General features: G+C 34.2%; 1 protein-coding gene and 1 long non-coding RNA gene across 11 annotated transcripts in view; one reads left to right on the top strand and one right to left on the bottom strand.

Annotated features, from left to right (window-relative positions):
* Positions 1 to 26,189, bottom strand: part of CTNNA3 (catenin alpha 3) — a 1,851,072-nt gene that overhangs the window by 162,885 nt on the left and 1,661,998 nt on the right. The window lies entirely within an intron of this gene.
* CTNNA3-AS1 (CTNNA3 antisense RNA 1) overlaps positions 3,833 to 26,189 on the top strand; it is a 65,310-nt gene continuing 42,953 nt past the window's right edge. The window contains exons 1-2 of one of the 3 annotated variants that reach the window (XR_007062172.1): positions 3,833 to 3,902; positions 23,255 to 23,410. This is a non-coding gene — a long non-coding RNA (CTNNA3 antisense RNA 1). Of the gene's footprint in view, positions 3,903 to 9,558; positions 9,639 to 22,562; positions 22,652 to 23,254; positions 23,411 to 26,189 lie in introns of those variants that run through there. The other 2 variants (XR_007062171.1, XR_007062170.1) reach the window with 2 other exon arrangements.

The following is a 26,189-nucleotide window of genomic DNA, read 5'->3' on the forward strand; positions in this document are numbered from 1 at the left end:
AATAAATTTATAGGAGTTGTGTGAGAATTAGTTATGACTATAAACAATTGTACCTGGAATATATTAGGGACTCAGTAAATGGTGCATATATAAATAATGTATATAAATGTATCATCTTGGCCTCCAAGACTTTCCACAAAATGGAAAAGAAGGATAACTAAAATATTCATGTAGCCTACCTCACAGAGCCTAGGCAAGAACCAAATGAAATATTTTGAGTAAGTGCTTTCCATAAGCAATAAATGCCATAGAAATATAGCGCCATTATAATTATCTTATTCTCAGAAGCCCCAGAATCCACATCACTTATTTTGCAGATAAGAAAATTGTCCCAGAAAGGGGAAATGACTTAAAAGAACTCTCCAGCTGGCTAGTGACAGATGTGATGTTTCAGTCCATGTGTCTTCATTAGTAGCTTTCCCTTTCCACAATTTTTTTTTTGGCTTTCCTTAACTATAACTTTTTTTCATGGAAATTAAATTCTTAGGTAAATCATATAACTTTGCTAATTTCTCTATCCATGAAACTGGATGAAACATAGAAATATTATTTTGTTAATAAATAATCCACAATTATGATTTTTTTAATTTTATAAATATTAGAGAATTTCTAATTAATTCATATCACTCATATGAATGGGTAGCTAGAACTCAACATTCAAAATAAAATGTTTGATAAACTTTAAAAATATACACATGGTATATATACATATTGGAAAAATAGTTCTCTAATGATAACTCATGTTCTTACCTTCAGCGTGTCTCAAATTTAATAGTGACATGTACGTGTTTTCTTAAAATAAGCCTAGAGGCATTTGGGAAATAGATGTATTTTTAATACATCAAAAGTATAAATAGCATAGAACACTTTGATGGAATTTTAGAAAATATAAAGTGCTTTTGGCAAAAATTCAACCTAATTAAAATTTTGAGAACAAATTTATTTAAGCAAGATTTATGCATTGGTATCCTAAGCATACTAAATTGTGATCTCAAATATATTCCTGAGAATTCATTAAGAGCAATTTTCTGTAATATTTTAAAATTAACATTTAGGAATTGGAGTTGGACTTTAAGAAGTGGTATACATTTCTACATTTTTATGTATAGACCTCTAAATCAGACTTAAAATATATATTTGCTTTAATTAGCTCTCAGTTTCCTCATCCATCAAAAAACACCCCTCTTAACACCCAGTGGGTTACTTTCACTGTTATAAAACTGTCTCATTTTATTATAAAACTTTATAGGCTTCAGGGACTGGGTCGAAACAGAGTAAATTATCAGGTATATTTGACTGATTATCTATGTCTTAAATATAATAATGATAGTGATTGACATTTGTTCACACTTCCAGTATGCCAGTCACTCTATTGAGCACTTTTGAAAAAATTATGCCATTTAAATAATAATATGATGAGGTAGATATTAATGTCCATTTGTCACAATCATGGAAATGAGTTCCTTAGGGAACATTTGCAGATCTCCTATAATGAAACCCTCTCCAATGTTTTATTTCTTTTTCATAAGAAATAGTTATATTTTATCTGTGAATCTAGTTTCTCTCCTTGTTCTAGAGATAAATAAAGGTTGTAAAGGGCATTTGGGAGATGGACGAAGGAATCTGTGTATAAACTGAGTATTAAGGAAAATTAAGAAGTGATTGTTAATTTTGTTCAGTGTTGTGATCATATTGTGGTTATATAAGAGAATGTTCATTATTTTGGGATATTCCTGCTGAAATATTTAGATATAAAATGCTATGATGTTTCAAATTACTTTGATGTAGTTTAAGAAAAACCCAAATATGGCTCTGGAACTATGGTTAAACTGTTATTTCTAGGTAATGGGAATATGAGTCTGTATTGTACTAGTGATTAAACATTTCTGTGCATTTAATTTTTCACAATAAAAAATGAAACACAAATAACATTTTCTACAATTTTTTGTGGAGGCATGAGAGATCTTACAGGATATATAATATCTTATTTCAAAATATCATTCCATCTATAACATTTGTGACCAATAATGCTTTCACCACTTTTCGGACTTTCCTGAAAGTCCAATGCTGGATTCTCTGGGCCTGAGAAATAAAGCAGTCCATGCACATTTTACCAATAAAAATTAAAACATAATAAATGAGACTCATGACCTCCAGAAGTAATCTTCACATAGATAAATTTCATTCAGGATCTTGGCATGTATCATAATGACAGAAATTTACACTTAAGTGTGGCTGTAGCATAAACCTTTCTCCAAAAAGAAAAGTTGTTTCAAAGGTGGTGATCTGTATGGAGCCCCTAAAACAAGATGCTGATGTGAGCAGGTATCAAGAAAGCTGACGTGAATATCCTCATCCTTTTGACAGATGTGATCCTAGCACGGCCATATAGTTATTGCAATATATATTTTATCCAGAAGGTGAAGATCCAAGCCTTTATACTCTTTCCTCTAAAATTATATGTATATATAATTATATATTGAAGGGTTGGTAAATTTGTTTAGCAAGAGTCAATCTTTAAAAGCCTGGTTGATTTGTTTAGGGGCATCAACACTAAAGAGTTTCTATTCCCAACAGTGAGGACCAACCCCAGGACTTCAGTGACCTCATCACTGAGGAGATTCTACTTGAGCTGTTAACCCTTTTTCCACTTGATATCTTACTTTTGTCTTCCAACAACAGGCAAGTACTTCCTTCTGAGGCACTGAATTACATTTTTAGACAGAGGTAGTTATTAGAAAATCTTTATCTTTCCTCTCTATGTCTACATATTAGCCTGAATTCAGACCTCTAGAACCTAAAGGAGTATATGTAATCTATTTTCCACAAGATGATCTTGCAGTTATGTGAAAAATAATCATCAGATGCTATTAACTGTCATCTTCCCATTCTCTCATTCATTCCTTCACCTATTCCTTTTCTGTAGAACTCTTCAATTCCAGACACTTCAAGAACTTGTTATCCAGAAGATCAGAATCAAGGTTTTCCTTTGGGGATATTTCAGTATATCATCGTCTCTTTCATAAAATGACTTCCAGACAGAATTGCAAATTCTAGATGAATTCTGACCAGTCAAGAAAACAATAATGGTCTTTGTTCAGGACACTATATTCGCACTCTACAAAGACCAAAGTTGTAATAGAAATTTTGTAACATTCATGTAAATTATTTACTCATACTTAACACTCAACTGAAATGCCCATTACAAAAATAAACTATAACTAAGCCATATCAAAACTGTCCTGTATTTTTATTTTTAAATATAAATATTGCAAAGATTTACACTAAATTTAATTTATTTAATTGCATTGTGTTTTCTTTGGTTCCTCGTTCCAGAATGCTGATATACTTTTTGTCTTTTGATGCTGCCAAAACTGACAATATAGAAATCCTCAAACAGTTCAATAAATAAATATTATAAAGGCTGTGAGGAAATCAAACAATGCTCTCTAAAAGTCTATTTTATTCACAAGAATGCCTTTAAGATGCTATTCAGTGCCCAGAAACTTATACTTTGCTTATAATTTGAATAAGTTTGGTTACCTGAATTCCATGACCCAGTTTACAGTAAATTGGAAGTAGACAGAAGGTGTATTAGTCTGACCACAAAGATGGAAAAGAAAATCTATCAAAAAAGAGACAGACTACTCAGTCAGATAATGAGGCCCTTCAAGTTATAAATAAGCTTTCCTGCTTATATCAGGACACCTTCATCCTATTATTGTATTATAGCATAGTACAATTATATTTGGTCACAATACTGACAATGAGTCATCCACAGCATCATCACCCAGCATTTATTGATGTCTACTGTAAAGTAGAGTTGGATGGCACCATTTCTGCTCTCAAACAGTTTAAAAGATCCCTGTGCAGAAAAAGACGTATTTAGAACATTTTGGTTGGTAAGGTAAAGATGCATATAATACAATTAGAAAACCAATTCTAGTGACTTTTAAAAAAGTTAAATCTTATTATATGAATTTTATAATGACAAATTATATGAATAGTATAACAACTAAAGTAAGATTTGAGAAAGAATTATATACCTCCTAGTTTTATATGTATTTTCTTTTAATCATATTTTTGCATGAATATAATTTTATTACTATGTATGTATTAAATGTGTAATTGAATATAATTACCAGATTTCCCTCCAAATTGTTTATGGAAATTTGAAAATTTCATTCTATCTTTCTAACAACAATTTTCTTGATAAAATAACAATTTGAGGAATATTGTATAGAATTCTAAATATGGCATTTGCTTGTCCATAAATTATGCTTACATATGTCTATATTATTATGATTCAATATGACCAAGACTAATGATCCATATAAATATGCTAATTATAGCTCCTTCCATTGAAAACCAGATGCAACACCTGTAGTGACACAGTCGTGGCAAAGAAAATATAAAATCTATTCTCATTATATTATTAACAACTGAATATAGATTATGTAATGCACAAAGAAAAATAAGCTGTTATATTTCACATAATATTAATCTATTGCCTATTTACTAGGTTTTTAAAAAGGTAAAATAAAATAGTTTATATCAATTTGAGTAATATACTACTATTATTTCTTTCTGACTCCATTACTGGGTAATCATTCATGATTCGGATCGCTTGAAGTCAGTTTAGTTTATGACCTAAACCCAAAGTTAGCAGAAGTTTCCATATTCTGAAATATAAATAAAACAGTCATGCTTCTTCTCATACATTCTTTGAGAGTCTCAAGTTTACTCAAGAACTTCATAAATTACTGAGGGCTTATATTCCCATAGGCCACTTTTCTTCTCTGCATTTCTGATCTCGATCTACTGCATTCATTTGAGAGTGATCTTGTATAACTATTCCCTTCTTACTCCATTATAGTAACCCAACATTGTAAAATTCTTCAAAATCACTCTTATATATATACAAGAGAGTGATCTTGTATAACTATTCCCTTCTTACTCCATTATAGTAACCCAACATTGTAAAATTCTTCAAAATCACTTATATATGTCATTTGTGTACATGTGAAGGTTTGTGAAAATGTTTAGGGACAACATGAGAATTTTACAAAGTAAAATGACTTAACATTGCAATATCTCTGATTTTTACTTAAAGATGTAGAATATGGGTAAAAAAGTATCGCTTCCACATTTACATCAACAACCAAAGCCAAAACTCTGCAAGTCCATGACTTTTCCTAAAGCCAATCATAGTTGTCAAATAATAATTTCACTGACTGAGTTAAACAGCCAAGGAAAATTTTATTCAATACTGCTGCAATGGAGGCAGAGATGGAACTCAACTCTGCTGAAGCGAAGTGAAGGAGAGTTTTTAAGCACTGGGGTGAGCTAGTAGAAAAGTACTGGAGGACATTAGTGGAGATGGTCAATGTCATTAGACCATCTGTGTTTGCTAAATGGTACTTACTGAATAGGCTTCTACCCTCCTACAGAGAGTAGGAAATAGAGGCTTTACCTTTCTTGATAACTACATTTCAGAGATGGTTCACAGATGCTTAAGAAAGATATTATATTTTGTTAAATTGGCAAGAAACTGGGACAAGATGTACATCACAAAGGGACAGAGAAAGAATTTACAATGGGAAGTTCTCTAAAGTAGATGCTTTAAGAAAAGGGAGGCCAGGGGCCTGTACTCAGAAGGAATCCCATCAAGACAAGGAGAAATTTAAGGCTTTCTTGGTCAGAAGTCAGAAGTCAACCAATGAACCTGAGATCTAGGGCAATAAGCGCCTTCTGAAAGAGATATGATGTAAGTGTTTGCTTGCCTTGGGTAGATGCCACCTGACACTGGCAAGTAGAATTCAGCTAGAAGAGTTGACAAATTAGTTGAGTATGAATCATCCTATGGTGGCAAAAAGTAAGTAATTGCTCAAAAAAGAAGGACCTGTTAAAAAGAAACAGGATGTCCAGGCCTGGTGGCTCATGGCTGTAATTCCAATACTTTCAGGGGCTAAGGCAGGGGGACTGCTTGAAGCCAGGAGTTCAAGACCAGACTGGCCAACATAGCAAGACCCCATCTGTAATAATAATCATGAAATAGGAAAAAAGTAAAATTTAAAAAAAGAAAAAAACTTTCAATACCAAAAAAACACAAAAAAAACTTTCTATATCAAAGGTTGGACAATTTGGTCAGTGAAATAAGGTTAAACTCCATAGACTACAATAAATATCCATGAGTTCATAGTGATATAAATAAATAATTGAATGAATAACTAAATGTGGGAGAAGGGACAGCTCTTCCTTAAAACTCCAACTAATAAATATAGAAGAAGTGAGCAAAGTAGAAAATCATGGGTTAGGCAAACACCACAGTAATTATTCTTTGGCAAGGTTCATTGATGGAGATTAAAATTTATAGGTGAACATTTGAGAAGGAACAAAATTGAATAGTCTTAAAGCACTGCACTTTGGCTGGGTGCAGTGGCTCACGCCTGTAATCCCAGCACTTTGGGAGGCTGCGGTGGGCGGATCACTTGAGGTCAGGAATTCGAGATCAGCCTGACCAGCATGGTGAAACCCCATCTCTACTAAAAATACAAAAAATTAGCTGGGCATGGTGGTGGGTGCCTGTAATCCCAGCTACTCTGGAGGCTGAGGCAGGAGAATCGCTTGAACCCGGGAGGCTGAGGTGGCAGTGAGCCAAGATCTCGCTATTGCACTCCAGCCTGGGCAACAGAGCAAAACTCTGGCAAAAAAATAAAAATAAAAATAAACATAAAAACTGGCACTGCACCCAAGATATTAACTACAAAGAAAAAAAAAAAACTTAGTTTTTCAGTGGAAAAAGCCAGCAACCAACACCAAATGACAAAAACCAACATCACCAGAAATAAGATCTATTAATATCTTGAACCTCCTGATTTGATGGACTGAGAAGGACATGTTAGTTTTGTGATATTTCCTCCAAAAATGCATAACCTTAAAATAATGAGGAAAACATAAGACAAATTCAAATTATATGAGATTCTATAAAATACTTCATCTGTATTCTTCAAAAATATCAAGATCATGAAACATAAGGGAAGATTCAGGAAATACCATACTCTAGAGGGGACTAGGAGATGTAACAACTAAATAAAATGTTGAATCCTAGAACAGAAAAAGAATATAGGTGGAAAAATTGATGAAATTTGAATAAAATCTGTGGTTTAATTAGTAGTATAATACCAATGGTCATTTCTTCATTTTGACAAATGAACCCTGGGTATGCAAGTTGTTAACATTAGGGGAAATTAGGTGAAAGGCCTATAGGATCTCTGTACTTTTTTCAGCTTTCTGTAATTATAAAATTACTTCAAAATAAAAAATTAAAAACAATGTAAAATATGCACCTGAATTGTCATATGTATGTCAGCAAATACAGAATAATTTACTTCATGGTGGCTACCATTTTCAGTCATTGGCATCCTGTCTTCTTAGATGGGCCCCATCTGTCCTTTTCTCATCTTTCCTGTGTGTTCTCCTGCAGCAAAATACTGCATATTTTCTAAGCACACTTTTTAAGTATTGTCATATATATATTCATCCATCAGAGTCTCATCTCCCAACACGGTGCAGCATATTTTCCTGAAGAAAAAGAGTCCCTTCCCTAAAGGAAAGTCTAAAACTATTTTTTTTTCTCTTTGCTAGAGATCTTCTTAGTGAGGAGTAAAAAGAAGTGAGGGCTTAAGTAAACAAGAAAACATTATCCTATGATCACAGATACTCACCAAAGCCAATTTGAATGTTATTAATAGCTTATAAACTGAGATGCTATAAAAACTCACCTAATTTTGGATAACCACATAGCTTGTCAATTAAAGCTCTACCCAATCTTAATACTAGAATAACATCATTAAATAACATGCAACTTGTAATTTAGGATGTTTAAATGGATCCTGATGTCTCAATAAAATATTCTTGCTAAGACAAACTCCACAGGGGTAACGCAACTGGACCAAGCAGCCTATGCTAGTCTTCTCCAGATTCACCTCCCACTTGAGTATTTCTTCCTAATTATCATTGCCACAACCTCCTTGGTTTCACGTGAGGGTCAAAGGACCGCCACACACTTTCTACCTAACATCTTGCCTATGAAAAAATAAAATTTCTCTTAACTATCTTTGATCAGCTAGCATAAGCCTGGACTATATATAAAAATATTAGACAAGATATTAAAGATTTTGAAAGGCAGACAGATGCAGAGTGATATGGTCTTGGTAAAGAGGCAACTAAGGTCTGGCTTATTCTTCTACGCTAGTTATGACCCATCCTATGTATTGTGGAAACCATCGTATATCCATTACTGATCACCCAGGTACACAAACAGGATATTGTGTCCCAAATATAAGTATAGGTAGCCAAGTCCTACAGAGGCCAGGGTTTTCTTATTATGGCTTTCTGAGCACTCACTTCTCCAAGTGATTTACATTAGAAATGATAGTGAGTTGGCTGGGTGTGGTGGCTCATGCCTGTAATCCCAGCACTTTGGGAGGCCGAGGCAGGTGGATTACCTAAGGTTGGGAATTCGAGACCAGCCTGACCAACATGGAGAAACCCCATCTCTACTAAAAATACAAAATTAGCCAGGTGTGGTGGTGCATGCCTGTAATCCTAGCTATTCGGGAGGCTGAGACAGGAGAATCACTTGAACCCAGTAGGCAGAGGTTGCGGTGAGCCAAGATTGGGCCATTGCACTCCAGCATGGGTAACAACAGCGAAACTTCATCTCAAAAAAAAAAAAGAAAAAAAAAGAAAAAGAAAAAAAGAAAAGGAAAGAAAAAAAGAAATGATAGTGAGTTTGCAGAAGAGACCAAACTTTCAAAATGTAGTTCTGCAGGCTCTGAAAGTATGGCCCATCAGAATGCTACAGAAAAGTACTTAAAGCACCACAAAATATTTGACTATTCTGTTGCATGCCATTATCAAAATAATTCATGTACTCCATAAATACATACACCTATCATGTATCCACAAAAATTAAAAACTAAAAAAAAAGAGAATGGGTCTTCCATTACAGTGGTATTAGTTTTGGAACTTCAAGCAATTTGTAATACCTTGAAATCTACCAGAAATTGAAGATGATTTCTAAAATTCTAGATTACTTACAAAAATGTAGGCAGTACCTAAAATAGATGTTTACTAAATAATGTTTTTTCTAAAGAGAATTTTTGGAATTAGAAAAAAAATTCTTAGAAAAAGGACTCATCTTGATTAGTTGAAAATGTTTTATCTGTATACACACTGAATTTTTCTATTTTCTCTAAGCCTCCTTCAGCTAAAGATTCATTTAATAAATCCCCAAGTGAGTTATGAATTATTTCCCCAGAGGTGGGACACAATAATCAAAAAATAAAATTGTTCGGGTCAATTTGTAAAATAGAAGTTTCAATGGCACGTTTCAATGTTATATATCTATCATCTATCTATGTATTTATATATTTATTTGTGTATTTTTTTATTTAAGGTGATATGTAACAAACTTGAGATCTTATAGGATAGGAGAACACTAGGACACTAATTAGGAACTGGTCCCAGGAACAAAGACCTTCTGGACTCATCTGACAAGATAAGAATCATCAAGCATTCTTCCAGCAGAAAGTGACAAAGCCCTCCTTGAGCTGCTCATGAGAATTCACAAAGTAAGGCAATATGTGAAGAATTAAGATAGAAGAGCTTGCAAAGAATCCCTTGTCTCTATTAGATTCCAAGATTGAGCCTTAGAATATTTCAAAATGATAAAAAAAGAGAGTTTAAAAGATTTGTAGAAGAAGAATGAAATAATATATTCATTTTGAAACAATATATTTTCATTCAGGATTATTAATAAAATGCTCATGTTAGTGATACATGATTCACTAAGGAAAATAAACAAGGAAGAGAAGATGGATAAAGTGATAGGAGGAGGAAACATGACACAATTGAGAAGGCACTGAGGTAGAAAGAGAATTGGTGTTTGTTGGTATAATTTAACCAGTTTTCATTCAATCACCTGGACCACAGAAATTCTCAAAGTACAATTCACATGCAACTGTAATAGATTACATCTTGTCTGTATAATAAGTTAATGTGCAAGATTTTGAATATTTTCTTATATATAGAATAGTATTATTTTTTCTAGTTTCTTTTTTGATTTATTTTTCTTTCATAATCAAGAAAAAAATAAATGAAAGAGAATATGGGAGAATGTCACCAGAGAGTCACAATGTTGGCATGTTATTCTGACAATTCAAAAAATTCTCAAAGAATCTAAGTTTTAAGTGCTAAAAACTGCCAGATCATTTTTTATATTTATTCTTCTGATTACAGTGCCTACAGCATTCGTAATTCTCCAAACAAAATCATGAGGCTTAATTGTTTTGAAATATACTTCTGTGTTACATTGTCAGATCTCAATTAAAGGAATCTTCCTTCTATATGCAATGGAAGTAATTCAATCCCTTTTTATGTAGTACCATAATTTATGTTAAAATATGGCACAATCACTGCCTAAGATTCAAAACATGTAAAACACCCCTTTGCTGCTGCAAGAATCAAAACACAGGGTTGATGGTAACACCTATCCTACATCAGTAGCACTAACAATACAATCAGTTTGTACAAGCTAAATCCATCTGGTCAGAACACACACCAACATTAAATAAACAAAACATAATTCTTCTTGTCTTCTGAATGTGAATTTGGAGGGGGAACATCTGGATTAGAAAGGCCCATAGCAATAGACAAGGCTTTTCCAAGTAAAATTCCATTCAGGCACTAGAAATAAGACCCTCTGCTCAAGAGGCAGCAGCTGACACACGAGCCTATCTTAGTACTGAGACAGGATATAGATGAAGCCATGTCTATAAATGAGCACAAAAGGAAATTAAAAGTAAGGCTTCAATTAGTTAAGCTTTCAAAGGTAAAACTCTAGGGTGTTTGGAGGAATCTTTCAGGAAGATATATTCCAGTTTTACTGCAGACTCAACACAAATGGCTCTCAGACAAGTCACATCTATAGTAATTGGAAACATTTTCAAAGTAAAAGATGAGAGACCATGGTTTTTGCCAAAGGTTCTTAAGCATGGGCTTTCATGGGCATGCGAATTTTTTTTAAAAAGTAGCAGAATAAACATATGTTTGCAAATTATTTTATTTTACCAAGTAAGGGCAATAAAACACACACGTTTAAAACAAAAAATTTAAAAAGGAAGAAAAAATTACCACAAAAAACTTACCATCCACTATCACTATTCTTTTCTTAAAAAGAATATTTTAACCTCAAAATTAGGAAGGACTCAGTAGAAAAGAACGATCTTTCCTAAGAAAGAATGGCTGTTCCTTTGGTTGATTTTACCTCTCCCCGACTCCGCAATCACAACCTCATTGTTACTTGGCAATCTCTTGGAAGATTATTGTTAGTCACAAGTGATGTGAGAGGTGTGCGCTACTGGTGATAGAGTAGTAAGAAATTATTTAGGCAGTTAGTGAGGGTGAAAGAGTTCTTGGTAGAATTTTCTTTTAATAAAAAGCAGCCCCCAAATCATTTCTTTTCTAATAAAAAGCAGCCTGAAAAATCAAGTTACAAGCATAGATAAGCAAGATGGAAATTTGCATAGATAAATGGCATCAGCTGTACCTGGAAGCTAGGTACATCCAACATGGTGATTCCTTCTTCCTTTTCCTTGTCGCCACATGTGCAGGTGTCATGGCACCAGCCAGGTAAAACCTTATCTACATAATAAAAGATTTGTGGGCTATGTAAATAGCACACCTGGTCAAACCAATCCCCTGGGCCCAATTTAAATCAAACACCATCTCCTCAAGCCCCTCTATAAAGTGGACCTCATCTCACCCCAAACCCAGAAACATACTTGGGGACCCCCTTTCTCTGCATGAGGAAGCTCTCTCTTCTTTCTTTTGCCTATTAAACTTTCCGCTCTTAAACCCACTCCGTGTGTATGTGTCAGCATCTTTGTTCCTCTTATCGCGAGACAACAAACTTTGGCTGTTTCCCCAGACAATGATGGTGCTTCATTGGCATCTACTGGGTAGAGACCAGAGATGCTGCTAAACACCCTACAATGCACAGGGCAGCTACTACAACAAAGAATTGTCTGGTCCAAAATGTCAACAGTACACGGTAGAGAAACTCCTCCCTACACTGACATTTTAGCTAAGGACCAGTGGACATTTTGGCTCAGACTGACCCTCATGTAAGCTAACCAGTTTACGGAGCCAGTGATCTCTGGAGTGCTTGGTTGACTCTTTTGTTTTCAGTCATTTTTAACAATAATCATCAGCAACAGAACTGCAGTGGTGGAATTCTACTCAATCAATTAGAACTAGCCTGAAAAATTGTCACTAAAATCTATTCTGCAATTCTATCACTTTGACATCAATCCCACTGGCATATTAGTTTGTATCTGAACTTCAGGGCATTAGACTTAGTCTAGAGGTAGTGCTACTGTTTGGAAATGAAAGAATATTTAGCCAGTTTGAGACAAGAATTAGTAGCCTCTATCAAAAGATAGAGAACAAAAATTTCGTCTTACAGTGGGCTTTAATAATGTATGCTTCATTAAATATTCAGTAAGAGTATATATACTTTCTATTAATGTAACTTTTTAAAGATTAAGAAAATCAAATGGATTAACAACCACGGCTCATTCTAGATAGTAAACTTATAGATAGCTATTTTTTCCTTATGTTTATTTGAAACATTTTGGTCTATAAAATTATGCACAAACTCTCAGTAGTATGGTAGGCTTCTTTTTCCCTCTGTACTTTCATACAGAATACCTTTATTTTCATAAAATATTGTTTCATATACCAAAGATTTTGAAAGCAATATTTTAAGACTATTCTTGTAGGCTACATATATATGTGTCATTATTTTACAAATTATATTGCAAAATGAGATCATATTATGTATACTGTTTTGTTCCTTATTTTTTAACATTATAAAGTAGACCAGTGTCTGTATAATATAGATTTGTCACATTTTATAACTCTTATTTCATGATTTAGATCTGGTATCATTTATCTACATGTTATTAATGGTTATCAGTTGTTTCATATTTATGTAGATAGGTAGGTGTTTTGTGTGTGTGTGTGTGTGTGTGTGTGTGTGTGTGTGTGTGTGTGTGTATACTGAGTGGTGAATATCTTTCTGCAGTTCTCCAAATGTATCTGGGCAAACATTCTAGAAGACAAAGAGAATGCACTTTTATAAAGGTTTTCAATGCTTACTTCCCAGTTTTCCTGCAGACAGCTTACCCTAATTGGTATCTCCACAAAGTGTTTGAGTATCAATTTTCCATAAAAACTTTCTGACAATGGATATTAACAATCTTTTCATGTCTTCTTCAAATGTTATCCGAATATAGTATTTCATTGTTGTTTTCATTTGCATTTTTGTAATCTCTGATGAGATGGGACAACAATTAACATACTTACTATAAATGTACATGTATTCTTTATGAATACCTTGTAATAGGGCCTATGCCCAGTTTTCTGTTGGCCAGGCGTGGAAAGTGGGGTGAGGAGTCATTTCTTCTTATTAATTTGTGAAAATCTATTTCTATGAATATATAAACATTTTCTTATATAATTTGTGATTATTATCTCCTCAAATGGATGTTTGTCTTTATTTTGTGTTTTGTTTGCTTGGGTTTACCTTTTTTATTTTGTATTCTCAGCAGTAAAGTTCGCGCCCCTTTTCTTTTGTTTTTGGTCTTTGGTATCACATTTGGAACATCCTTTACCATCCTAAAGTCACAAAAATAAATATTTACTCCTTTTTATCTAGTACATATAGGGCCCTTTGTTGTTGTTGTTTATGTTGCTGGAACTCAGGAGCTGAGGATTGCATTAGTCATATTCTTCAGTTCATTGCACACTATTACTCTTGGTAAATAGAGAGTCTTCCTGCCCCAACCCAAACCTCTCCTCTCTTTCTTTCTCCCTCCCTTCCTTTGCTCCCTTCCTTCCTTCCATCCTTCCTTCTTTCCTTCCTTACTCCCTTCCTTCCTTCCTTTCTTCCTTCCTTCTATATACTTTTGTTTATTCCTATTCCTTGTGCCTTTTTTTCTATTCCCTCCCTGCAAATTAAAACATAAACTGTTTTTTTAAATCTACTCTGGTTCGCCTTTACCTTAGGTAACTTATATTTAATTCACTGCACAATATGAATCCCTTATGATTTGAAGTTACTGTTCTTTATAAACACTATATTTTAATAGAACAGACCATGTGTTAGGCATCTACTTTGTTTTTATCACTACACAAGGTCCTTTATATGCATTATTTCTAATTATAATATTACAAGGTAGGTATTCTCTGAGTTGAAATATAAGGAACCAGTATCTCAGAGAAATATATATATATATATTACTAAATGTCATACTGTCACTAATAAAAAGAGCCAAGATTAATCTTAGGGATGGTGACCCTAAGACCCAGGCACTCTTGGTGCTTCTTACAAAAACAATAGCAAACAAAACCAAGCGAGTTCTGCATATTTTTAGAAACTATATTTGAAAATGAAATCCTTTTTCCTTATAACACCATTTTATATTATTTTAGGAAATTTTAGTAACAGTAGTTTCTAATTTCATCATTTCAAAGAACAACATGAATCTAATGCTACATTCGTGACTACATAATTGCAAGCAAACGGATTTAGGCATCTGGTGTGATAACAGCCCTGACAACACAGCACTTCTTTTCTTCTGAGCTGCAGTTTGAAACTGGACCAGGGTAGGCATGTGGCTCAAGAGCTACCCATCTATAAATTAACTAGAAATTCATGAAAGAATCCCATGTAAAGGACTTTGTACATAGGAGGAAATTTATTTAGCTTGGCCAATCAGGCTGGCTCTCCCCAGAAACCCTTCTGAAAAATCTGAAGAGAACTAATTAGCAAGGTGAATGTTGCCAAGCTGCAAAAATAGCAGAGATGTCATAAATGTGAATCCACTCAACAAATAATGATGACAACCGTGATAGTGGTGGTGGTGGTAATGATTATGATGATGACAGATATTTTTTATCACTTAATGATACATCATTCCTTATAAATATTAACTCCTAGAAGCCTCACAATAACCCTATGATGTATGTCCATTTTAAAAATAAGTAAGCAAAACACAGAAATGTTCAGTAACTTGCTCAATGACAGCAGTTAGTAAGTGGCAAAGTCTGATTCAAACATAGGAGTCTAGCTCCAGAAATTGTGCTCTCCTTTAAAATGGTCTTAGCATCAGAAACGAAGAGACATGTTTGGAGGCTGACTTTTTCTAAAAGCTCTGTTTCTTACAAGTACATGACTATTACATAGCTGATGACTTTACACTCAAGGAAATGCTTCTATTATATGTCTGTTCATATTTACATGGGATTTTAGCCAAGCTTTAGATGTTTAGAGTGCTATATAGCCTAAACAACTTATATATTAGAAATACATGTTCACATTTCTAAAAAATAAATGTAAGTTAGAAGTTACTCACTGATTAAAAATATGAATATAAAAATACTATTTCGGTTATGGTACTTTCACCGTACAAAGGTAATTTTTAGAATATTAGAAAGCACGTAAAAGAAGGTGTTGCATTTGGCTTCTTTTTCTGCTACCTTACCTATTACTACACACTTATTGTCTTTAGTAGGAAAAGATGTAAGTATATTTTTGTTAACCAGGGACTAATAATTCAACAATATGTATACATGTTCAATTTTCAACATAAATGAAATAGGACTTTTTCAATGATGACAATTTAAGGCAGAAAAAGCAGAGACATACTTGCTAGCCAGATGTCTACCACAAACACCTTTAAACCTACAAAGAGAAAGAATCACCTGAGTACTTTAGCCTCAACATTTTTCCAAATGCCCATTGTCTAAGTAATTATCTACTAAAATACTATTTTGGAAATATAGGAGCTACCCTATTTATTCTGTAGCTACATTATAATTGGTTGGATTCAAGTGCTGTATCTGAAACAACCCCACCACCCCCAAATTTTCTGCACAGGTCTCTTTTCCCAAAGCACATATATGGTTAACACTGTTTATTTATTGACTCAATAAATATTTAAAGCACATTTACTAGCCAGACACTGTTCTAAGTGTGGGGGAATACATCATGGGAAAAAAAAGAACATTAAAACTGTTGCCTTCATTGAATTTGCTATCTAATAGGGAGACTAAACAAACAAGCAAATATGTAATACATCAGAGAGTGAAGGTAATGTTATGGAAAAAAGTAAAGAAAAAATGGAAAGAGGTTATAAGAGAGTTGGAAATGGAGTCACAGTTTTAAGTCAGTGGTTAGTGGTGGCATTACTAAAAAGGTGCTATTCAAGAGAACAAGTATGTCAGAAAAGAGGAGATTTGTTGGGGGATGAAGTCTGAAATTTGAAGGAAAACAGACCTAAAGCCAATTCCTTGAGGAAAAAAAAATGGTCACCAAGTAATACATAAAACTTCACTGTAAGTTTAGAAGGTTGCAAAATAATAATATAAAGCTATGCATATAAGATAATTTCCAGTCTAGCTGACATCTTTGCTTGGTTTTTCAACTGACTTTTAGTCTAGTCACAGTCAAAATTAATTTCTGCTCTTTCACCATCTCCAGACTGCTCAATTCAGTCTCCTCTGTATCAATATAAATAGTAAGCCCATCTTCCCAGTTCTGAAGCCAAAACCTTGAGTTGTCCCTGACTCCTGTCTCTCTCATTCCCAATATCCAATCTTTTAGCAAATTTAGTTAGTTTTACCTCTCACCATATATACACAATCAACAACGTTCAACCTCCCCATTTCTAAAATCCTGGTCTCTGTCTCCACCATTTTTCACCAAAATAATAGCAATGGTTTTTAACTTTCTGCTTCTTCCTGAATCACTTCTCAGACTATTTTCAACACAGCATTCAGAAAGACTCCTTTAAAACATGTCATATCATGATTCTTCTGGCTTCAAACCCCTCCAATGGCTTCTCATTCTACTCAAAGTAAAAGGCAAATGTCTTATGATGGTTTATACATCATCTGGACCAGGCCTCCCTTTTAGTTTCAGACTTCTATTACTGCTCACTTCACCAACATTCACCTCCAAAAACATTTTCTTCTCAGAACTTCTCTGCTTGCTATTTCTTCCACTGTAAATGCATCGATGAGTAGAAAACTCTGTTTAAAGAATGGATGGCAGGCTAGGTTCACTAAGTAGCAAGTAAGTCACATATATCACAATATACCACTTAAATTCATGCCTTGGTGGCATTATAAACTACTAAAGATATAGAACTTTGGTTTTTTTGTCCATGTTATAAGGTGGAAAACGGGCATTTTTGAATACCAACGTTCTACTCTATAAATCAATGGAAGAGGAGAGAGATTTAGGCTTAAATCACAGAAGTTCTAATTGTTGCAAAAATATACTTGATGCCTATACCTTCCCTCACTCTAAAATATACTTCATCATTGGTGATAAGAAAATTTTGACAACGGAAAAACTAAATTAAGAAAAACTATAATAAAAAAGATATCTTTTTAATTTTTAAAAATTATATACTAAGCAATTCAGATTAGCTATTGAATATTAATTTTTACATAGAACTTCCCAGTAACCAAAGCAGGATGAAAATGTACATATTTTAATGAAGCTCCACTGTCTGATAAGTAAGAGCATATTAAGATATTTGGTAAAAATCTTTCCCAGATTGAAATTTCAAGAAGCATTTATTAACTCGTATATAAGAAGTTTTGGATACTATAATATACAGTGTTTTAAACTTTAATTTTTCTCTGTCTAGATTTTTATACAGTGACTTATAAAATTAAAGAAATGACACTAAATTTAAATTCAAGTAAAGAACTTAAAGATCAAACTGCTCAAGTACACTACTTTACAATGGATAGAGATAGAGCCTAGTGCACTTGACATGTAAAAATCCAAAAGGAGTGAGTAAACTGTCCTTTAGACAGCTTTTCAGCAGAAGTTTTTGTTTTATTAAATCAATAGGGGCTAAAGTATAAAGAAAGCTTTATGAGAATAAAGGGAGTTGGGCTCATCTAGAAGAACTTTTGAAAGGAAGTAAAAAAGACAAAACTAGACCATTCTGACATGGAAAAATCAGAAATATAGGCTCAGGGAAAATCCTAACTCTCTGTCAGAAACACAAGGATCATTGTAGCAAATAAAAAGGATTGAGGTTCTATATCCCTTATATGGCCAGGAATAAAATGGCGTAGTGAAGGACTTCGGCAAACAAGCAGATCAATTAATATTTACACTAGCTGGTACTAAATTGAATATTTCAGTGTAGTGTCTAAGAATTTATAGTAAGATTTATCTGGCACAAGGAGTTACAACTGTTGGAAGAAAAAAGATAAAGAAATAAATTCATGTAATACCCTAGGCTCAATATATTAGCCTAGGGTGTGCTTTTGGGGCAAGATATCTTACAAAATAAAGCCTCTCCTTATGTTCTTTCCTATATGACGTGATTCACATATGAATCTCCTCTGTACTAAGTAGTGTCCTACGTTCTGCAAATGTAGTGCTAAAAGAAGACAACATGTCCCCTGCTGTAATGGAGTTTAGAATTTAGCAGGGAGAAAAATCCATTATATAGGAAATTATACAGACACAATGAATATCAAAATGTGAGAATCCACATGTAATGGAAGATTATTGGAGGGAAACTATCTCAGACTTGCGTATCAGAGAAGGCTGGGCTAATCTGGAATCCTAATGATGAGCAGATACTAGTAAAGGGAAAGAGGGGGCAGCGTAGGAATTGTGTTTCTCAGAGATAATGAAATGGTGTGAGGGTGAGCCTGATGGTTGTAAGACCTGAGATTTCTGCACGAGGAGGTAGCATTGAAGAGAAACCGGCAAAATATAATGCAAATGAGAGCAGACCCTGAAGTTCCTTTACAGAGGGCATTAGGAGATTGGATTTCATGCTAAGGGCAAGGGGTGACACTAAGACCTAAAAGGGCTTTTATGTATGATGATAGATGACAGATTTTTCACTTTGGAAATATCACAGGAGCTTAAGTATGGACAATGGAAGTTTACAAAACTGATGGCAGGAGACAAGTTAGGAACATGCTGCAGAAATCTAGGTGAGAGGTGCCGGTGCCTAAACTAAAGGAGGGACCAAGATGGCATGAATGTTCCCCTCCGCTTGAAAACGGCTTTCTCCAAGTTGTAAAACCATCTCCTGTTATAAAGAAAACATTTATGAGAAGTTTTACGATTTCTTTGGTTAAAGGCAATTAGCAAATTTGATGGACTATAATCCCTCTCACCATATCTCTGACAAATCTTTGTTTCAGCAGAGTTGAGCTCAGAATGAATTCTAGCCTTTGTTCCATTGCAAAAGCCTTGAATAAAGTCTTCCTCTCTTATTTAACTTTGGTGCAATTCTTCTTTGACAGTGGTGATAGTGGAGATGGTGAAAAATGGACAAGTTCAGAAAATACTTAGAAGAGAGTAAAACCAGAACATGTTGTATGATTAGCTATGGGAAGACTCAAAAACTATTCCTGAGTTTAGATTTGTGCAACTGAATGTACAGAGGTGCCTTAAGGAATGTAAGAGTTTGAGTAGATTAGTGGATTAAGGTGGTGCATTTAGGTTTGGAAACAGTGGGATCTACAGATGCCTGTGATTATTTCAAGGAGAGGAAATTTGTAGGCCTCCCAATATATGTAGTCAGAGCTGAAAAGACAGGACTAGGCTAGAATCACATGCCTACATATGATATTTGAAATCTTGGGATTATGTGACAATGTCTAAGAAAAGTAGGAAGAGCTGGAGGACTATAGGGCTTATATGAGAACTCTAATAAACCCTAATGTTTAAAAATAGATAGAGGAAAAGGAAACCATGAAAAATATGAAAAAGATCACCCAGAAAGATAGGAGAGCAGAGTTACTGCCAAACATAAAATTGAAATGATAGTAACCAATGATGAGAAAATGTATTGCCTGCTGTGTTGCTGCTGATTAATGAAATTTTATCTATATTGATTAAAACTGTTTTTTATAATAAGCCAAATTAGATCATGAAGATGGTAATGAGGTCATGTGTCCCAATATTCTGTAAGGTAATTCCGTACAAATTTGAGTTATTGAGAGTATATACTGATAATAATTATGGCCTGTTAAAATGTTTTTAATTTTTAGAGTAAACCACTCATCCATGGAATTGTTTTTCTATTTCATAGTGAAGGATATTCAGGTAACTGCATGTAAACAAGCAAAAGTGAGGCAGTTTTTCCTATCACCAACATAAAGTTTACATGGCATTTTTTTTACACTAAGAACCATCGCAAGTATTTTAAGATTTGATATGCTCCAGTTCATCTGTTGCTATTGACGTTTTGAGGTTGTGTCCAGTAACCTAGGCAACTGTTCTTATTTCTGTCCTAAATTACTTCTATTTATAGACCTTATATAGATTCAATGGCCCCAGAGATTTTCTCTAAGGCAGGGCAGGTTGACAAACTATATGCTCTTAAGTGAATATAATGTTAAACACATGACAGACCTTAGTCATCAAGCAAAGACTGCATATTACAATTTCTGTAATTTGGGGTCATCAGTATATATGACAAATAATGTATCTTTAAAAATGTAGTATAACCTGGTCACAATGAAATATGAAATGACTATCGTTGAAATTATAATATTTAAATGTCTTGTTTTTAATGTTCTATTCATTAAACTCAATTCCAGCAATTAGAACTAGCAGATTCAAATATCCTTAAATAAAAATCTTACCCAGTCTAATTCAGTGCTAACAAATTCCTTTTCTCACCACTCACCTACAAGACACTATAATCAAAGTTTAAGTTGTGTGAGACAGAACAAAACCTTTGATTTAGTATTTAGACCTTATTGGATTTCAAGTTGTACAGGCGGAGGAAAGAATGACTGTAGAATATGTTCTTCTTGGGCAGGGGCAAAGAAAGAAGAGGTAATTATAAATGACTACTTGCAGAACTATCTCCAACATGCATCCAATAAATATCAGAATGAGATGTATTTTTTTCTCTTTTTTTAAAAAATCATTATACATCTAGAAAAATTAAATGTTGTTTTTTTCTTTTTTCTTTCTTTTCTTTTCTTTCTTTTTTTTTTTTTTTAGGCAGTCTCTCACTCTGTCACCCAGGCTGGAGTGCAGTGGACACAATCTCCGCTCACTGCTACCTCCACCTCCTGGGTTCAAGCAATCCTCCCACCTTACCCTTCCTAGTAGCTGGGATTACAGGCATGCATTGCCATGCCCAGCTAATTTCTGTATTTTTAGTAGAGATGGTGTTTCACCATGTTGGCCAGGCTGGTCTTGAACTCCTGGCCTCAAGTGATCCACCCACCTCAGCCTCCCAAAGTGCTGGGATTAGAGGTGTGAGTCACTGCGCCTGGCAGAAAAATTAAAAATTGAAAAGTTTAAGTCCTATGCAACTTTATGAGAACTGACAGAGACAGAAACTAATGGATTACCAAGCTACCAAAGTTCCACAAGGAAGAAAAACTCCCAGTGCAGAGCCAGGCATTTTACTAAATGGTGAGGGAAATAAGAACTTGACAACTATTGGGTCAACTTTTCGGTGATGTTGCATTAACAAGAGTTGCTTTTTTGGATATCTATTTCAGTTCTAGCTTACTTTTGTGAATACAGATTTACATAAACTTGCTGGCATCATTAAGAATCACAATGCCTTCTTCCTTTTAATCTCTTAAAGCATTTCTTCATTAGTCCCCTTCTTGAGGCAAAAAATAATTTCAAAAGACTTCTGGTAGTAAAGTGTCCATGATGTCAAAAATACTTAGTACCATGAAACAGGAAACCAAGTAGTCCCATATCAGGAGTCAGAGAGATTTGTATTTACAAAGCTCCCTGAGCTACTCAATAAAAAGTCAAAGCACATCAGGAGCACACAAAGATCTGCATTTTTCATGAGATTCATTTTATAAAAATCAAAATTTATTGTTCACTTCCTATGTGCCAGAAACCAAACAAGAATTTTCACATATCTAATTGAATCTTCAAAAACACCTATAAAATAGATATTATTATTATCATCATCATGATTTTACAGATAAGAAAATTGAAAGTTAGAAATGTAACTTTATGAAGGTCATATGGACAGTAATTGGTGGAACTGAGATTTGAGTCAAGGTTTATGTGACTCCAAAGTCCATTCTCTTGACTTATACATTACAGTAGTTCTATAAAAGGCAAGTCATTTGCTCACCTATTCTATTCCCCAAACTCTCTTTCAATCAATTTTATGAAGAGCCTTTTTAAACCCACAGTTATTACTCAGGTAAGTTTGAGGAACGTTCAGCTGCCACCCTGCTGCAACTTAAATAATTTCCTAAGTCTCTACTACGACTGCTGCCCCTATTGCAGAAAATAAAACAGGAAAAACTTCTAGAAATTAGAATTCTCGTTTTATTGAAACATCACACAGGCCAATGTGATGAGACAATGACTAAGGAGCAACTGCCTTTGCTCTTCTGGATTCCGTGGTGGGAACTAACTTTGGATCCTCACCCTGCAGGATCCCCTGCTATATGACCCTACTTGCCCAATACTCCACTTCATCAAGGTGAAGTGACCCACCAAGAGAGACTTTCAGGGTCTGGGCATTACCAGGTAGTTTCTAAATGGTAATCAACAAGCCAATTTTGCTATTGATAGAAGATTGTAGGATGGGGACGTGTAGAAATTTGCAAGGTTTAAATACATCTAATTTTAAGGTTTGTGGTCTTCAGTTTAACAAACCATCTTTCTAGTACAGCAATTTATAATATTGACTCTATAATGCTGGCTGTTGCAATAGTAGATCAATGACAATATTAAGGGATGATGAGACTATTCCAGTTTACAAGTGTGCTGTACTGGAAAGAGAACATGTTTGAGGCCAAAAGACCTGCGATTTGGTCCCAGTTAATATGGCTTGCATAAACTACTTAAATTTTTTGTTTCATTTCCTAATTAGTAAAACCAAACGGAAAAGATAACAAAAAATAAGCTCCAGGGCTTTTTATAAATAAGCTACCAATTTGAAAATGTTCTGTAAACTATGATGTGTTAAACAGTATCAGGCACTGCTCTGTTTAAATAGAAAATATGATTTAGTCTGTATGTCATATAACATTTTAGGAAGCTTTTAGGACTTACAAACATCTTATTAATAAGTTTAGAAATTTTATTCTCTTTTAAAAGGTGTATTTTCATGTCTCTTTTGAATTTGAGTTTTTCAGATAAAAGATGCCTATTTTATTCTGGCTGAAAGCATGAACAGAATAAACAATGAGCTCTGTGAAGAATGTTCTATGAACCCGAATCAAACTCAAACTCCTGTGTCACTCCGGTACGCCTGATCACTGGATATAACCACGTATTGGTCCAGTGAGTATTCATGTTTAACAATTAAGATAATTACTGATTTCCACTGCTATTTCCATTGTCACTTCGTAAGTCATGCATTATTGGTCTTTTAATATTTTGTTCTCATTGACCACAGACTCTAAATCATTATATGTTAGTTACAGACCTTTACAATGCCTACTGGCATTTGCCACTGGTGACAACAATAATAAATGATGTTGAGCTGAAGCTAGTAGGAATGAATACAGAAAGTAAAATGATAATAAATAACTGTCACTCCATTACTAAACAGTGCCTGGTTCTAGCGCATGTGCAATACAGCAGAGTCTGCATGATCCAAGAACTAAAAAGGCATTTACTCTTTAGAAACAGCAACAACAAAAAAGAAATCCATTTACTCATCTTGTGCTGTGACCCCAAATTCCACACTGAGCATGGCATGAGTATTTAAAGACTTCTCAACAGAATCTCCTTCAATATCTTATAGTATCTTCTCAAAGTGAGAGTGTGTGTGAAATGTGCCAAAAGTTACACTCAGTGCAATGGATATGAAATTACAGCAATTACAGCTAGAATGTGACAATAATGTCTCAGATGGATAAGAGATTGAAGATATAAATGTCATTTTATTATTATAAGGAGTATGGAACACAGATATTAGTATAAAGAATATGGGACTCAAGAATACGAGATGTCTGGTAGATATTGTAAAACCTATCTAAATATAATGTTGGTTCTTGTTGGGTGATTTGGGTGGGGACCAAATCTGAGCTATCCTTTTCCTTGGCCATCTGTCTCATAAACTTAACTTATGAGAGTAGAATCTGTTGTAATAAACTCACAAGGCAGATATAATGTAAGGGGTGTTATTGGTACCAAATTATCTACAATATAAAATAATTTCTCTTCAAAATTTAAAGGAAAATTTGTGTCTTCCCCTTGTCAGACAGCTGTGACATCCTTTGCTCTGTCCTCTTTCTCATTCCATTAATGATACATCAGGTTTATTGCTCTGGTGGTGGTCTATCTGTTTGTTTTTTAGTAAAGGACTTATCATAACTTTATTTCCTAAGTAAACTGACATGTGGCAATCACAGAAGGTCTGAGTCTGAAGACATAATCCTCTTACTACACAAGTTACATAAATTTGAGCCTTAGTGATCTTATTAGTAAAACTGGAATAATATTAATATAGCAAATTTAATGTAAAAATTAAGTAAATAATATATATGGAGTAATTTTCTTTTATTATTTTCTTCCAATAAGCAGAGTCTGAGATTGGAAGGTAGTTTGTTTTGGAAATAGATATTAGTAAACGGAACTGGGAGCCTGGGAAGAACGAATCAGGAAAGAAAGGAGAGCCAGTCTAAAGACACAGTATCAACATGGTTACTACTTGATCCTACTGGGGACCCTTTCAGGTTCTGTGGAAAATGCATTTCCAAATTGTCCATCTTAGAAACAGAATAGGGTTATTGGTCAAGAGTTGCTCTATGTGGGGTTCGTGCCTCATATAAGGTTGTATATGTATTATCATGACTGAGCAGTTATCAGAGGGATTCCACATAGTAGTTGCTAGGGAGCCCCAATGCAGGAAGTGAATAAAATCCAATTATTTGGGATTTATGCAGAGGATATTTATAAGAGCAGAGAGTAGCCAGGTTGAATATAATGTTGCCACCAGTAGATTTCGTGGTCAGGGATCTATCTTGTCACTAAACAGTGGTGAGGTTTTCACCCAGCGGCATTCCGAATGAACTGGATTGTCTGAGAACTGTACGCAGCAGAACACTAATGCAAGATGCAGAGCAGTTTCAGGGTAGTTTCCACAACATTAGAAGCAGTGGCTTCTATGAAAAATTCTTAAGATTCAGAATCATAGAGATCATCAAGTTTGTAACCTATAATGGGCAGCCAGTCATCTAGCTGGCCTGGCCTATACTTTGGACCAAGAACAAAAATACAAATGAAAATAGTAGTAATAAGAAGTTTACCATCGTATATAATGTGGAAATTTTTGAAACACTTCCATATGCATTATCTTATTTGAAGTTACCAGTGATGCTGTGAGAAACTATGGTATTATTCATCTCATTTTTCAAATGAATAAATTTGGTTTTCTAACCAAGTCTTCATCGTCTACAAGTGCTAAGCCAGAATAAAAACTGAGGTGTGTTTATCCTAATTCCAGCATTCTAAAAAGAGCCTTAATTTTAACAAAATTTCCTTTGGTCAATTACTTTGCAAGCCTTGACACCTACACTTTACCTTCAGTGGCATCAGCCTGAGTGAACCACGCACCCACTTCCCTGAAAGCAAGAGCAAAGCTTACTTTTAGCAAAATGTATTTCCAATTCAATTTCCACTCATAAGATGTGATCTCTACCAATGATGCCAACTAGATTTGAAGGAAACTAAATCCAGATGCTGTGTGACCCTAGACAGTTTTCAACACAAATTGGCTAGTAGAGGGCTGACAAATAACCCAAATAATCTGTAAGAAATGGAAACTCAAGAAAGTAGCATTTCCCAATATATTACCAAATACTATCTGTCTGGCTATGTGATAATGGTGTCTACTCAAAGAACATTTTTTCTCCACTGAAATGAAATATTCCTATTACCAAAATTTGAGATAAGCAATGTTTCTGATAAAACACAGGTTTTATTTTCTTGGCTGATATATATTATTTCTAGGCAATCTGAATGTCTGAAAACATGGAACTTTCCCAAATTTATCTTTTCCCATATTATGTTTTACCATATTTTCTGTATTTTATAGTAAATGAGAAAATACTTA

Source organism: Homo sapiens, chromosome 10 (genome assembly GCF_000001405.40).
Source record: "Homo sapiens chromosome 10, GRCh38.p14 Primary Assembly".
NCBI lineage: Eukaryota > Metazoa > Chordata > Mammalia > Primates > Hominidae > Homo > Homo sapiens.